At 59.7% G+C, this 14,216-nt stretch overlaps 1 protein-coding gene across 6 annotated transcripts in view, besides 3 other annotated features; it reads right to left on the reverse strand.

The window, feature by feature from the left end:
* The window catches only part of CASZ1 (castor zinc finger 1), a 160,043-nt gene that overhangs the window by 12,631 nt on the left and 133,196 nt on the right, over nt 1-14,216 (reverse strand). For all 6 annotated transcript variants that reach the window (NM_001079843.3, XM_017001540.3, XM_047423404.1 and 3 more), the window contains 9 exons: nt 10,468-11,302; nt 9,274-9,342; nt 7,412-7,502; nt 6,415-6,579; nt 5,185-5,357; nt 4,143-4,984; nt 1,707-1,842; nt 1,458-1,521; nt 49-203 (listed from right to left, as the gene is read on the reverse strand). In NM_001079843.3, coding sequence (NP_001073312.1) covers nt 49-203; nt 1,458-1,521; nt 1,707-1,842; nt 4,143-4,984; nt 5,185-5,357; nt 6,415-6,579; nt 7,412-7,502; nt 9,274-9,342; nt 10,468-11,302 — 2,530 coding nt within the window. The remainder of the gene's footprint in view (nt 1-48; nt 204-1,457; nt 1,522-1,706; nt 1,843-4,142; nt 4,985-5,184; nt 5,358-6,414; nt 6,580-7,411; nt 7,503-9,273; nt 9,343-10,467; nt 11,303-14,216) is intronic.
* Nucleotides 5,972-6,629: an enhancer, noted in NCBI's record as "H3K4me1 hESC enhancer chr1:10715263-10715920 (GRCh37/hg19 assembly coordinates)". NCBI's record gives its function as "activates a minimal SCP1, AML or CMV promoter by ChIP-STARR-seq in naive H9 embryonic stem cells {active_cell/tissue: H9 hESC(naive)}" and the evidence as "EXISTENCE:reporter gene assay evidence [ECO:0000049][PMID:30033119]".
* Nucleotides 10,533-11,043: an enhancer, noted in NCBI's record as "H3K27ac-H3K4me1 hESC enhancer chr1:10719824-10720334 (GRCh37/hg19 assembly coordinates)". NCBI's record gives its function as "activates a minimal SCP1, AML or CMV promoter by ChIP-STARR-seq in naive H9 embryonic stem cells {active_cell/tissue: H9 hESC(naive)}" and the evidence as "EXISTENCE:reporter gene assay evidence [ECO:0000049][PMID:30033119]".
* Nucleotides 11,044-11,554: an enhancer, noted in NCBI's record as "H3K27ac-H3K4me1 hESC enhancer chr1:10720335-10720845 (GRCh37/hg19 assembly coordinates)". NCBI's record gives its function as "activates a minimal SCP1, AML or CMV promoter by ChIP-STARR-seq in naive H9 embryonic stem cells {active_cell/tissue: H9 hESC(naive)}" and the evidence as "EXISTENCE:reporter gene assay evidence [ECO:0000049][PMID:30033119]".

Raw genomic sequence — 14,216 nt, forward strand, 5'->3', positions numbered from 1 at the left:
GGGCGGGTGCGGGGGGACGATGGGTGGACGCGGCCAGCAGCCCCTCACCTGCGCAGGTACACCTTCCAGGGCTCTGCCAACTTCTCCTGAACCAGCGCCTTCACGGCCTTGCCTAGGAAGGGCGAGGGCTCCGCAGCGGGGCTCCCCTCCGCTTCCGCCTTGATGTTCAGCAGGCTGCCCAGGCCAGGGTTGCCCTGAGACATCTGTGAGGGACAGAGGCCGAGCATGGGGCTGGGGTAGCTTAGAACACAGACACGGCAGCCTGGGGAGCAACAGCCGAAGCTCTGGGCTGCTGGGACCCACCCAGCCCTCAGAGCCAGCAGAGAATGCGGCCCGCCTACTTGGCTCTGGCTGTGGCTGGGCCCTCTCTGAACAGAGAGCCTGCTGTGCTGCCCCGACCCCAGGAGCTGCGAGGCCTCCTCAGGGCTCCTCCACATGAGCCCGTGCCGCGGGATCCATCACTCAAGCCGAGGCCGCGACTCAGGGTGCACGCTGCAGCCCATCTTTCCCCAGACTTCGCGGCTCCCTGGTTATTTTCCTGCCAGAAGGTTTTCAAAAGAAGCGCAGAAGGAGGAGGGATGGGGGAACCCCTACGAATTCCTTGAGAACAAGAGGAGGCCCACAAAGGAGAGAGAGGGAGGGAGGGAGGGAGGGAGGCTCACGGGTGAGACCCAGACAGGCTTGCTGCAGCGGCCGGGAGGGGGTCATTGCGAGGATCCAAGGGAAGGGAGGGGGTCGTGGGGGCGGAGGCCAAAGGAAGGGGAGGGGGAAGGAGAGCAAGAGGGCAAGTGGCCAAGGAGTGGATGCCACGGACCAGTGAGGCTCCTTCCCCACCGAGTGCCCGGCTGGGGCCCTGCGGCGAGAGGTCCGGCCCGGGCCCGGCCCCTCCTCAGGGCAGTCACTTGTGTACAGTAACCGAATTAATCTTGCTGTAGTCAAATGTATCATGTGAAGGGGAAAAATGTATTTGAGATGATGTATAATTTACAAAGACCCTGCATTATTTAAAATAAATATTCCGGAGCGACCTCTCCGGAAGGCGTCCGAGACCATTACTCAACCGGAAAAGTGGAAATTGATGTTTTGCTCCCACTTTAGTCCCCCCTCCCCCATCCCCTTTTAAACAAACAAAAAATATATATAAAATAAATAAATAAAATTAATAACGAGGCACGAACGAAGTTGAAGGGCTCTGGAAAAGCTTTTGGAGCCCTCCATCTGAAGGGAAAAAAAGGTGTCAGAGGCTGGAATATATTTCTTCAGCCAGTTCATTAAATTAATTTGTAAGCAGTGGCTCTGAAATTATATCCGATGAAAAATGGCCTCAAAATTTAAATGGTACAAACTCATCTTATTAGAGGCAAAACATTAAAAAACAAACACATCCCCCCACCCCCCAGCACAGCTTTAATTTCTCTGGGTGGGGGAACGGGAGGCGTGTGATGGATGGCTCTTACCTTATTCATAAGCGAGGATAAAAGAGATGAATTTGCCGGGACTGCGTGGCCATTTGATTCGTTGCTAGAACACACAAACCAAGGGACTTGAGCTCAGACGGCCGGGGCCTGGGCCCTGGGGCTCACCTTCCCTGCCCGACCCTGGGGCTCCAGCCGAGCCCGCTGCAACTGCCTGGGCGGGACCACCCCGGGGCTCCAGCTCGAAGGTGTGGTTCCCGGGGCTGGCTCCCATAGGGGGCCTCGCCTCACCTGGGCTCCTTCACAGTCAGGTCTAGACTGCGGTCCTGGGAGGCTTCGTGGGGGCCTGGGGCGCCGGTGCTCTCACCGGGTTCCGGCTTCACTTGGGCCGGGGGGAACCTGGCTGGGGTGACCTGCTGCCCGCTTCCTGCAGGGGAGGGGTGGGAAGATGCGTCAGAGGGGCTGAAGGCCTGGCCCGGGCACAGACAGCCGCCGTGCCCCCTGGAGGGAGGGCAGTGGGCTGGGTGGGCCCCGGCTACTGGTCAGCGCTTCTCCCGCTGACGTGATCGCTCGCGACGCTCGCTCCTGTGTGGCAATTCTTCAAGTGATAATTATTGCAAAATTATGTCAAAGTTGTCCTGGCTCAGGGCCTCCTGGAGGAGAAGGGCGGGAGGCTGGGGAGGGGGCTGGGGTGGGGGCGGGGGCCCTTCATTTTCTCCACCAACTGTCACAGTCGATTTGTGGGGCTGCCGCTTAGGCTTTTATTAAAGACTCTGTTAATGCTGAGGGAAAGTGGCAGATCTGGACTGGGAGGGCCCCTCTGTGGTCCCCAGCCCGCGGTTGCTGGGGTGACGGCCCCCGCACGGAGCATGCCCAGGAAGGGCCTCTGCTGTGTCAGGGCGATGGGGCCGATGGCCAATCAGAGCGGCCACACCGGGTGACCTCGCAGTCAAGCTATCCGGGGCAGGGACACGAGGCCAGGCTGGGCCGAGCTGGGTCCGGAAGGGAGCTGGGCGGGTGAGGCCGCAGGAGGCCAGCAGAGCAGGGGTAAAAGAAGTTGCTGACAGGGCCATCCAGCGAGCTTTCCCCTACAATCCCCCAGTGACGGAAATATGAATTTGCCCCAAGGTGCTGTAGCTGACAGAGTGCTGCTTCAGAAACAGCAAGTGGCATTTTATTAAAAAATAAAACGGCCCCCTCCCCTGTGCTTGATCTTTCTTTTGGGAGAAGGAGACTTTTCTAATGAAAACAAAGTACTTGACAGTCTGGCCACCGAGCCCACGTGGCCCTGGAGTGGGCCCTGCCCCATCCATCAGGCACCTGGCTGGAAGGGCGTGGCCAGCGAGGCCCCACCCATGCCTGGACCAGGAGGCGGTCCCTCCACGCGGCCACCGGGCATGAGCGTCCTATTGGGCCTGTGAGAGTTTTCAGACCTTGGGACTTCACATTCCAGCAGCTCTCCAAAGTCACCTGCCCAAGGTCCCAGGAAAACGGCCCAGCTCCCCTGCCAAGCACTGGCAGCCTCTGCAAGGTGTGGGCAGAGCCCCAGACTGGGCCACAGGGACCCTCAGTCTTGGCTGGTTCTGAGAGGGTTTCGAATGGGAACAGGGCATCTAGGCCCAGGAGCCCCACTCCTGCGGGCAGCGCCTTGGTTCACCACTTCCTAGCCATGTGCCCGGGACAGACCATCCCTGACCGTCTGCTGGCTCCACGGCGTGGGGCTCTGTCTGGCGTCCCGCCTGCTGTGTCCCCAGCACCCGGCTTGGAGCCTGGCTCTCAGCAAGCATCAGTGGTTGTTGAATGAATAAGTGAAATGAGCCACATCCCAGATGTGAACGGAACTCTCCTCAAGGATTCAACAAATAGGAACTACCCAGAGCAGGGAAACTGGGAGAGGAGTGAGGTAAACAGAAAACACCCTCACCCCAATCCAGAGAAAAATGGAGGGAAATTTTTTTAAAATGGATATTTATGAAATTATAGGAAGGCAGGAAAGAGAACTGCGCCCCTCAGTGAACCAGCGTGAAGAAGGAAGATGCAACTCCGGGGCTCTGGCCCTTTTCTGTCTGACGTGGCAGTCCCTGGCCAAGTGTGGTTGTTTAAAGTGACAATCCCGCTTCCCAATCACAGACCCAGCTTCAAGCACCAACAGTCACACGTGGCCAGTGGCTGCCAAGTCAAACACTGCAGAATAGAAGGCTTCCAAGGCCTGGAAAGTCCTACTGCAATGGCACTCATGGAGGAGGGAGCCTGGGAAGGGCGTCCCTGGGCCTGGAGGTGTCCAGGTGTGAGGTGCAGCCCCACTACCGCTGGGCTGGACGCAGGCCCTGCTCCAGGTCAGCTGGAGGAAACGCTCGGCACGCCAGGGGCCCTGGGCCTGCTCTTATCAGGGTGGACTTGGGATGTGGGAGGGTGAGCAGACAGGGAGGGGGGACCTGCAGTGGCCCCAGGGATGCAGGGCAGCCGAGGAGGCAGGGACCATCGCCCCCAGCTCACAGATGGGGAAACAGAAGCATGGCCCCCCTACTGTGGGGAGCCAGAACCAGGGGCCCCACATAGAAACCAACAGGATGGGGGCGAAGATCAGGCAAAGAGGGGGTGCTGGCAAGCAGGGGCCACACGGACACTTCTTCCAAACACCCCCCGACTCTGCTCTGCAGCCTGAGGCCAGGTGGCCACCCCAGTCCAGAAGGTGCCTGCTTTCTGGGCAGGACCCAGCCTGCTCACCTGGGTCAAAGGTGGCAGAGGGCTTGAGGGCAGCTGCAGCCAGCCTGGCCATCATGGGCGAGATGAGGCCCTTGCTTGCAGAGATCCTCTCCATGATGGAGGCGGGTGGTGCCGGGACAGAGGCGGCAGCCACGGGGGCTGAGTCTCCAGCTCCCGAGGCGACCAGCGTGGGTGTGTCAGGGGTGGCTGAGGCTGCTGACCCAGACGACACGGCACCCAGGAGGCTGGGGGTGCCCACAGGCAGGGAGGTGCTCCCACGGCCAGCCAGTATGGGGAAGTAGGGCGTGGGGGTGGGCAGGCCCGAGTTGGAGAGGGCCAGGGCCAGGGGGATTGAGCCAGGCAGGCCCTGGGGCAGCAGCCCCGAGATCTTGCTGTTGGGAGGTTTGGTGGCACTGGGCCCAGCCTCGGTGGCGGCAGTGGCGGCAGCCAGGGACGCAGAGGACTGCTGGCTGGTAGGGGAGGCGCTCAGGCTGGAGTTCTTGCTGCTCAGGGCGGAGAAGTCAACAAGGTCGTCGTTGCTGGACTCCTCGTGCTCCGTGTCCTTGGCGCCCAGCAGCGAGGGCGGCAGCCCCAGCGCGCCCGAGGAGCGGATGTGCCGGCGCTCATGCTTGCGCTTGTGAGAGGTCATCTGGCTGGTGGAGGTGAAGGTGAAGCCGCAGCCGGCGCGGATGCAGTGGAAGTGGTTGGTAGCCTTGCTGTACACGCAGCCCTCGTACTTGCACTCCTCGTACTTGTAGAACTTCTTGAAGCCGTCCTTGGCGTAGGCATCGTCCTTGATGTGGTAGCTCTTGTGCTTCTCGATGTCACACTTGTTCTTGAAAGTGAATGTGCAGCCGGGGCGCCTGGATGGGACATTGGGAGCCTGTCATGAGACCCAGAGGAGGCCCCACCCTGCTACACCATGGCCCTGGGAGGGACAGTCCCCCGGGTGGAAAACCCAGGCTGGACACCGAGGCAGGGGCCTGAGCCGTCCCACGAGCCTGGGTCCTTGCCTTCCCTCCCCGCTTCTGCCCACGAAGGCCCCCACCAGGCTCCCGCTTACCTGCAGTGGAAGTGCGTGGTCTTCTGTCCGTAGAACTGGCAGTCGGCTGTGCCACAGTCTTCGGTGGCTCGGAAGCGCTGGAAGCCGTCGTTAATGAGCTGGGTATTCTTCTTGTGGAAGTTCTCGTGGGTCATCACGTCAGACGTGCTCGTGTACACCTTGTTACAGCCCACCTGCACAGGACGGGATGGTGGTCAGGCGAACGGAGGCCAGGTGCTCCTGGGCCGAGGTCGACACCACTGTGTGTGGCTGGGGCCACTGACTTCCCTGCTCAGGGAAGCTTTGGCACCTCTGACTTCAAACTGGAGGCCTCGGGATGTTGATGTAGGAAGCAGAGTAGAAAGCCTCCAACAGCCCCTCAGGCCTCCACAGAGGGACCAAGTGCTGCTGGAGCCTGGCTCCGTCTGTGCTGAGGATCAGGGCATCTCCGGAGACTCAGGGCACTTTTTGGCCCAGGGGAGGGAGCTGCATCCTGCAGGAGTTGGATTTTGAGTTCCAATCCATGGCCCTACCTCTAAAACCCTCAGTGGGTGGACAGGGGCTGGACCCTGGAGGTCACCTTTAGCCCAGGGATTTGCTTAGTGGACAGTCCCTGGGCACGGGGCCCTCCCACCCCACCCCAGCTGGGCCAGGAAGGCAACGTTGCCATATTGAGTAAAAACCCGTGGAATCCGAACACTCTCGTAGGCTGGGCCGTGCCAGTGTCTGCACCATCTCAGAGCCCAGAGGGTGGCCCCCCTCTCCTCGTGGCCCAGGTTGTTCACAGAGGCCATAACAACTCCTGACAAATACCGGGGGAGGCATAGGGCTGCTATTTGCAACCCAAAGTCGCTCCTCCTGGCCCTGACACCTTGAAAAAGCCCAGACTCTGCGTGGCATTAAAACAAAGAATTAAACAAAAACCTCCTCAGGAATCATTTGCAATGCTGCTCTTGGTGTTAAAGCCTGAAAAATGTCCATCTGTATAAACAGCTCACTGAATTTCATCCACACCAAGTATGGCCATGGGGAAGGCCCCACCCTGGCCCACCAGACGCTGCCCAAGCCTGAACCCCCAGGACCCTCCTGGCTCGCTGGCCATCCCTGTGCTGGGCCAGGGGAAAGAGAGGCTCCTGATCAACTGGGGTCCCTGCCCATGGGGCAGCCCTGCCTCTGGGAGTGGGGGGCTCAGAGCCGGGAGGGCCTGGGCCAGTCCTGCAGCTGCCCAGTGGGCCCGGGTGCGGGAGGCACCTGCATGCAGTGATAGTGGGTGCTCTTCCCATTGAGGTGGCAGCCGTGGTAGTAGACGCTGCAGTCGTCCAGCGGGCTGAAACGCATGAAGCCGTGCTGCAGGGAGTTGTCGCGCTTCTTGTGCATGTTGTAGTGGCGGATCACGTCCTGCTTACTCGTGAACCTCTGCCAGGAGACAGCGCCACGTGGGCAGGAGCCTGAGCTCCCCCTCCGCCCTTCCTCCCATATGCCAAGAGCACCTGGGCCAGGTGCTGGCCTCAGGTCTCCCTAGAAAGAACCCTGCTTGGGGTCAAGGCAGCCCAGATTGTCCAAGGCCAGTGGCAGGCACATCAGCCCTTGGAGGGAACCATCCCAAAGGTTCTAGGACCATAGATTCTTCCCCGATGCTCCCCTAGGTGCCCAGTGGCCATCCCCAGGAGCACAGATGATGCATTGGGCCAGGCCTTGAGGGCAGGGGCTCTGATGCTGACAGCTCATCCCGCCCAGTGCACCTCTGGACTAAGGCAGGCTGGGATCCCTGGCAAGCCAGAGGGAGCCACCCCACGCAGGCTGCCCTGACTCTCCCCCCACTCACCAGCCCCGCGCTCACTGGCGGGCAGCCTTGGGCACAGTGGCACTCTGGCTGAGCCACAATTTTATCATCTTTAAGATGGGGCAGTAATGCTAACCTTCTAAGGCCACTGCAAAGAGTCAATTAGGCAAGGCTCATAGGCTGGCTGGCATGGCCCTGGGCACGTGGGAGGCTCTCAGTCAAAGGGGACTGGAATGATCACCACTGGGAGGTCACTGGCCCCCAATCGTAGGAGCTGCTCTGTCGGCAGGAATCGGGGAATGTGGGCAGGCTGGTGGTTTTGCGGGCCCTCTACCTGCTCAAGTCAAGTTTGGGTGGTGCAACTAGAACTAACCCCCCCCACTGCCGTCCCCGCCTGCCGACTTCTAAGCGCCTCCATGCTGTGCTGGTGGCGGAGAGGCGGAGCCCATCTGGCTGTGGCCGTACCTGGTAGTTACACTCAGGGTCAAGGCAGTGGTAGTGCTCGCGGTACTGGTAGGCACAGTGGATGTGGCCACAGTGCTGGCTGCCCGAGAACCTGGAGGGAGGAGGGGTGGGGTCAGGGCCCTGCTGTGGGTGACAGTCCCAGCCCCAGCCCCAGCCCCAGCCCCAGGGAGGACTCTTCGGGCCCTGTATGGGATGCAGAGGGGAGGTGAAGTTGCAGAGGCCCAGGCAAGTGACTGGGCCTGGCGGGAATCCCAGGCCCATTGAGGCAAAGAGGCCTGGCCCCAAGAAAGGGGCAGGACAACACTGAGGTGGCCAAAAGTCAAAGTAGGGGGAGACAGATGGGGCCCGAGCCCTGGGATGGAAGGGAAGGCAGGCGCCCCCTCGGCTGCCCACCTGTCTTTTCTGCAGGGGCTACCTGCCCCACTCCCAGCCCGCCCAGTTCTGGCCAGGTGCAGAGACCCTGGCTGGGCCAGCCGGGCTCTGATGCTGAGAGGTGTTAAAGGGCTCTCTCTGTCCTGGGCTTTTCCTGACACTTGAAACAGTGCAGAGCTATGAATTTTTAAAGCACAGCATCTGTTTGGCTTCCTACAGCAACGAGCTCACTCTCCAGCCGCCGCCGCCACCGCCAGGAACCTGTGCTGCCTCCCAGGAAACCCGTCCTCCTCCAGGCCCCAGGGCCGCTGGGACGTGGCTCCCACAGCCTCGGTGACGGCCGGCCGTGGGGAGGCCACTCTGGAGAGGCCACACCATGACGACTGTGGAGAAGGGTGTGACTCAGCCCGCCTGTACCCCTCCAAGACTGAAGTGAGATTGCAGGAGACACAGAGAGAAACCCCATACTGTAATGGGAAAACCACGTGCAAACAAATATTTAGGCTGAAGTGGCCAAAAGGGCCATCTGCGGAGGCACTAATAATAATGGTAATAATAATACCACAGAGGAGACAGCACGGGGCAGAGCTGAAGACAGAGTGGGACAGGGGGGCGGAGACAGTGGGATGGGGGTGGACAGAGACAGAGCAGGACAGGGGATCGGAGACAGAGTGGGACGTGGAGGCGGAGAGACAGAGCGGGCGGGAGGAACCTGGAAGATCTGCGGACAGACAGGCGCCAGCCGCTGGGTGCTGCCCCATCAGAGGGCAGGCGGTGGGGGGGTGGGGGCGGGGGGTGTTATTTGTGTGATTTGGGGGAATCTGTTGAGGCAAAGGCTCTTCACTGCCAATCCCACTGCCTTTGGGATGGAAAGGGGTTGGTCTGGAGTCAGGTGGTGTCAGAGCCTCACTGGGGAAGTGCATTGGGCTGTGTCAGAGAGGACGACAGCCCACACCTTCTCTCTCGCTTTCTCTCTCTCTTTTTTTTTTTTTTTTTAAAGAGATAGGGTCTCACTCTGTTGCCCAGGATGATCTCAAACTCCTGGCCTCAAGTGATCCTCCCATCTTGGCCTCCCACAGTGCTGGGATTACAGGCATGAGCCACTGCACCTGGCCTGCCTCTACCTTCCCAGCCCTGACAGTTTCACGGTGGCCTGCACCCTACTCAAGGCTCTGTGTGACAGCAGGACCCAGGCAAGCTGGGGGAGCTGCACTCACCTGTGGCCAGGCCCTGCGTCGGGACCCCGGCCCTAACTGGGGGCACAGGCTGCTGAGGGAATGTGTGGCCTGGACTACACAGAGCGGAGGGAGGCTCCCAAACGGGCGTGCAGGGCAGCCCTCGGTGCGGTGGAGGGACCGAAGTGGATGGGGATGGGAGGAGGCAGCTACCTTGGCCCTAGAGGTCAGATATCAAACGAATGGCCTCAGAGTGCCCGGTCAGTCCTGGCCCCCCACCTTCTCTCCACGGCAGGCTCCTCCCCAGGGGCCTACCTGGCAATATATTTCTGGTAAATGTTTACATCTTCAGTGACGGCTGGTTTATCTGTGGGCAGTCCGTTCCTGGCAAGAGACACACAGGGCACAGCCGGTGAGCAGATGGGGCAGCCTCGTGTTACAGGGGCATCTGGTGGGCAGCCCCTGCCCTGAGGCCCCAGCCCCTCTGCTCTGCTCTGCAGTGTCCGAGGCACCCACGGTGGGACTGAGGACATCCCTGGCAGAAGCTGGCCAGAGGTTCAACGAGCCCAACTCTGGGAGGGCAGTGCCATCTCGTGCAGGTGGGGCTGCAGCCCCCTTGGGCACGGGCTGGCAAGCCACAGAAGCCCGGGCTCGGCACCCAGCATTCAGGGAGCATCAGGAGGCCGCTGGCTGAGGGGCACCAGGCCTCCCAACAGGGAGGGATTCGAGGTGGGGGCAGGCAGCTGGGCAGGGGAAGTGTATCCTTCCCCAGGCAGCAGGGGCCGCCCTGATCTGCTCCAAGGCATGCAGCCCCCTGGGGTCCGGGAGCCCCCCCAGGGTTCAGGAGGAGCTCTGGGGAAGGGTCTCGCTCAGCCCCACACCATCCACTACTTGACTACCCAGGCCGTTCCCCTGCCCATGGGTTCAGGCTGTAAGGGTGTATGCACCTAACCCCGGTCACTACCTTTGCTTCCTGCCTCCCCCAGGGCCCAGGCTCTGAGCCCAGGAGCCAGGGCCACCAGCATGGACCCAGCATCCCCAGCCAGGGTGGCGCCTTCTCAGCCAACCACAGGCCTGCATTCAGCACCCATGGCAGCAGGTAGAGAAAGCCTGTCATGGGCAGATGGGGTGTGCTGTCATGGGCAGTCCCGGTGTGCATGCTAGCAAAAGGCAGAGCACACTTGTGCCTGGGAGTGTGGGCGTGTGTGGGTGGCGTGTGTGGGGGGCGTGTGCGAGGTGCACGCGCAGGTCCAGGAGCGGGGGGGCGCTGCAGGAGGGCTCACGCATGGTTCTGTAGGTGCAAGAGTGAATGTGAGTGCGGCGCGCACCTGTGTGTGTGGAAGCGCATGGATGGGAGCCTGAGTGTGCACGCGCCTGGATGCACAGTGGATGTGTATAAGGTGTGAGCGGCAGGTGTGTCCTCAAGCACGGGCAACCCTGGTGAGGAAGGAGGCCTCCTGTCTAGTCTGGCTCCTGGCTCTGGGCATTGTGGGGTGGGGAGCGCCTTACTTGACAGTGGAGACGGTCCCCGTGGTGATGGAGTCTGTTTTGGAGAAGGTTGACTTCAGGTACTCGGGAGTGTTGAAGGACAGGGAGGCAGGAGGCTCTGGCCCTGGCCCGGGGGCGCTGGGGGCACTGGGCACGCTGGCGAGGGGTGCGGGAGCCAGGCTGGGGGTGGGCGGAACCTTGGCGGGGCCTGGCTTCTGGATGCCCCGGACGTCGTACTTGGAAGGGCGCCCCACCTTGCCTGTCTTGAAGGCGATGGCCCCGCCCATGTCGGGGCTGCCCTCCCCGGGTTTGAAGAGGTGCAGGTACTTGACATTCTCCAGGTCGTACTTGGATGGCTTCTTGTAGGTGCTCCCGTTCTGGGGCCGCAGATTCTCGCCGGTCTTCAGTTTTTGGATGAAGAAGTCGTACTTGGAGGCCCGGGCTACCAGGTTCTGCATCTGGACACTGCTGTGCGACGGCAGGGGCAGGATGGTGGCCTTGGTCTCCAGGTGGGCCGTGCTGCTGGGCAGCCGCAGGCCGGGCAGGGTGCCCACCACCTCCTTGCCCACCCGCTCCTCGGTCTTGGTGCTGGGGGCCGGCCAGGAGAGCTGCTCGCCAGCCTTGAGCTTGCGGATGTACTCCTCATACTTAGAGAACCGCGCCCGCTTGCTGAGGGTATCCTCGGAGGTGGGCAGCATGGAGGAGGTGGCTGCCTCCGGGGTGGAGCCCGCGTGCAGCTTCTCAAAGCTGATCTTCCTGGCCAGCTCGTCCCGCGTGTTCTGGTCATCATAGCCAAACATGCCGAGGAACTCGGTCATGGTGGAGGCCGCGTAGTCCCGCAGCGAGGAGGCCTCTCCTGCAGAGGAGGATGGGGGCGCATCACCTCTGGGAGGGAGTGGGAGGGACAGGAGGTCCCCCCACTGGGGGCCCCCACCCATAGAGGGAGGGGGTCAGTGTGGGGAGGGGCGGAGCAGGACACGATCTATGGACGTTTGGCTCACTTGTTAGGTTTTACGACTCTTAAATTAATTTGTTTTAAAAAAAAGTAATTAATACTGGGGTAAAATAAAACGAGTTCATCAATGCCAGGAAAATCAATTTCCTAAATGTTCTGGCCGATGGCTTTTCAGTACATTAAACAAAGTTTCATAAATGTCTCCGCTCTCTCGCCTTGGCCTAATATGAAAGAGAAGTCATTTTACTGGAAGTAAGGCCAGATCCCAACCTGCCTCCCAGGACAGGGAGCGGCAAGAACCGGGGACAGGTAGGGACGTGGGCCAGTGGGCAGCTGGGTGGGAGCCCAGGGGTGGGGAAGATGCTCTGGCCGGGGTCGGGGTGGGCCTGGCTGGAGGACCTCCCTTGACCCCACAAATGGATCCCCTGGGCAGATGAAGGGTCCACTACAAGCCTTCCTAGGACCTGGCCTCTTGGCCTCCCCACACCTTCCCAGGTGCTGAGGGTCCCTGACAACACAGCTCAGCCAGGGGCGCAGGTGTGTGGATGTGCCCCTGGCCTGTGACATAGGACCTGGACACGTCCTCCAACCCCCTGGCCTCCTCCAGTCACTTGCAGTCACACAAGGTTGGGCCACCCGGGGAGGGCAGGAGTCCGGGCAGGGCCTGAGTGCAGCCTCCTTACTGTGGCCACCCCGGGCACACCAGGAAGCCTGGAGCCACCTCCCCACAGTGACATACACACACATTCTCACATATCAACACACACTCACACACACAAACCCACACACAGTCACATGCACATGATCCCATACAACACACACATGCATTCTCACACACACACACACGGTCACATGCACACAATCACATACAACACACACATGCATTCTCAAACACACACACAGTGACATTCACACGATCACATACAACACACACATGCATTCTCAAACACACACACCCAACACGGTCACATTCACACAATCACATACAACACACACATGCATTCTCAAACACACACACGGTCACATTCACACGATCACATACAACACACACATGCATTCTCAAACACACCTACACAGTCACATGCACACACACACAAAACATACACATGCATTCTCATACTCTCACCCACAGTCACATGCATTCACAACACACACATCCATTCTCACACACACACCCACAGTCACATGTACACAATCACATACAACACACACATGCATTCTCATACACTCTTACACAGTCACATGCAATCACATACAACACACATATGCATTCTCATACACTCTCACACACCCACAGTCGCATGCACTCATACGCCATCACATACACACTCACATAAACCCAGTTAATTACATGCACACAATCACATACAACACACACATGCATTCTCATACACTCTCACACACCCACATTCTCACAATCACCTATAACACACACGCATTCTCACACACACCCTACACAGTTACATGCACACAATGACATACAACGCACACATGCATTCGCATACACTCACACACCTACACACAGTCACAACACACACATGCATTCTCATACACTCTCATATCCCCACGCACAGTCACATGCAATCACATAAAACACACACATACATTGACACCCACCCACCCCCACACACAGTCACATGCTCACAATCACATACAACACACACATACATTGACACCCACCCACCCCCACACACAGTCACATGCTCACAATCACATACAACACACATGTGCATTCTCATACTTTCACACCCACACACCCAATCACGTGCATACAATCACATACAATACACACATGCCTTATTACACACTCTCACCCGCACATACGCACAGTCATATGCACACACATGCCATCACATACATAAACCCACACACGGTCACATGCACACAGTCACACACAACACACATGCAATCACACACACTCTACACACCCAGTCATGTGCTCACAATCACACACACAATCACACACACTCTCACATACATCCAGACACGCAGTCACATAAAACTCATATACTTGCTCACCCCCACACAGTCACATGCAGACTCTCACATAAAACACACATACCCAGACACAACACACACACTCATACAGACTCACAGACACCACACACTCACACACCTCACAGACTCTTGCGCTCACACTCGGGCTCACCAGCTCCCATCCCTAGCCGCCTTCCTGCCTCTGCAGACATACAGGTACACAACCCCCTGAACCCCTGCCCTGGGTCTCTCGGAATGAGGGAGAAGGCGGTCAGTCCCAGGCTAATTCTGAGCTGTTCTTGCGGACCCACCTCTTCCGCACATGCCCCACCCCATGGCCGAGCCGTGACCCCAGTGCACACGCACACCTGCCCCTTCACTGCCCGTGTGCTACATGCCTCCCGTGTGCCATGCCCTGCATCAGGGTTAGGTGCACCCGCGAGACTGAGACCTGCACGGCCCCCGGGGACACCATGTTCTCTCTGCTCATGTGCAAGCCAGCCACGTGGGCACACTTGGGGCGGCAGGACCCCAGGCTGACTACACAGCCAAGGGAAGGCGTGGCTGGGGGGTCTCCTCCCAGGCGAACCTGCCAGGTCTGGGATCCTCAGAGACACCTGGGATGGGGGTCTAGAGGGGCAGGACTGGGCCTGGGGAGGGGAGGACACCTGGCGGGATGTGGAAGGAGAGGCTGTGGGCTCCGGGGAGGGCCTGGGACCCGGCTAGGGGAGGAGAGGACAGTCACAGGCAGCCACCTGGCACCCAGGGTGCACAGAGGGACTCAAGAAACCAAAAGACAGCTGTTCCCCTGGGGCGGGGCTGGCGGGTCAGCCGCTGT

Source organism: Homo sapiens, chromosome 1 (assembly GCF_000001405.40).
Source record: "Homo sapiens chromosome 1, GRCh38.p14 Primary Assembly".
NCBI classification, from domain to species: domain Eukaryota; kingdom Metazoa; phylum Chordata; class Mammalia; order Primates; family Hominidae; genus Homo; species Homo sapiens.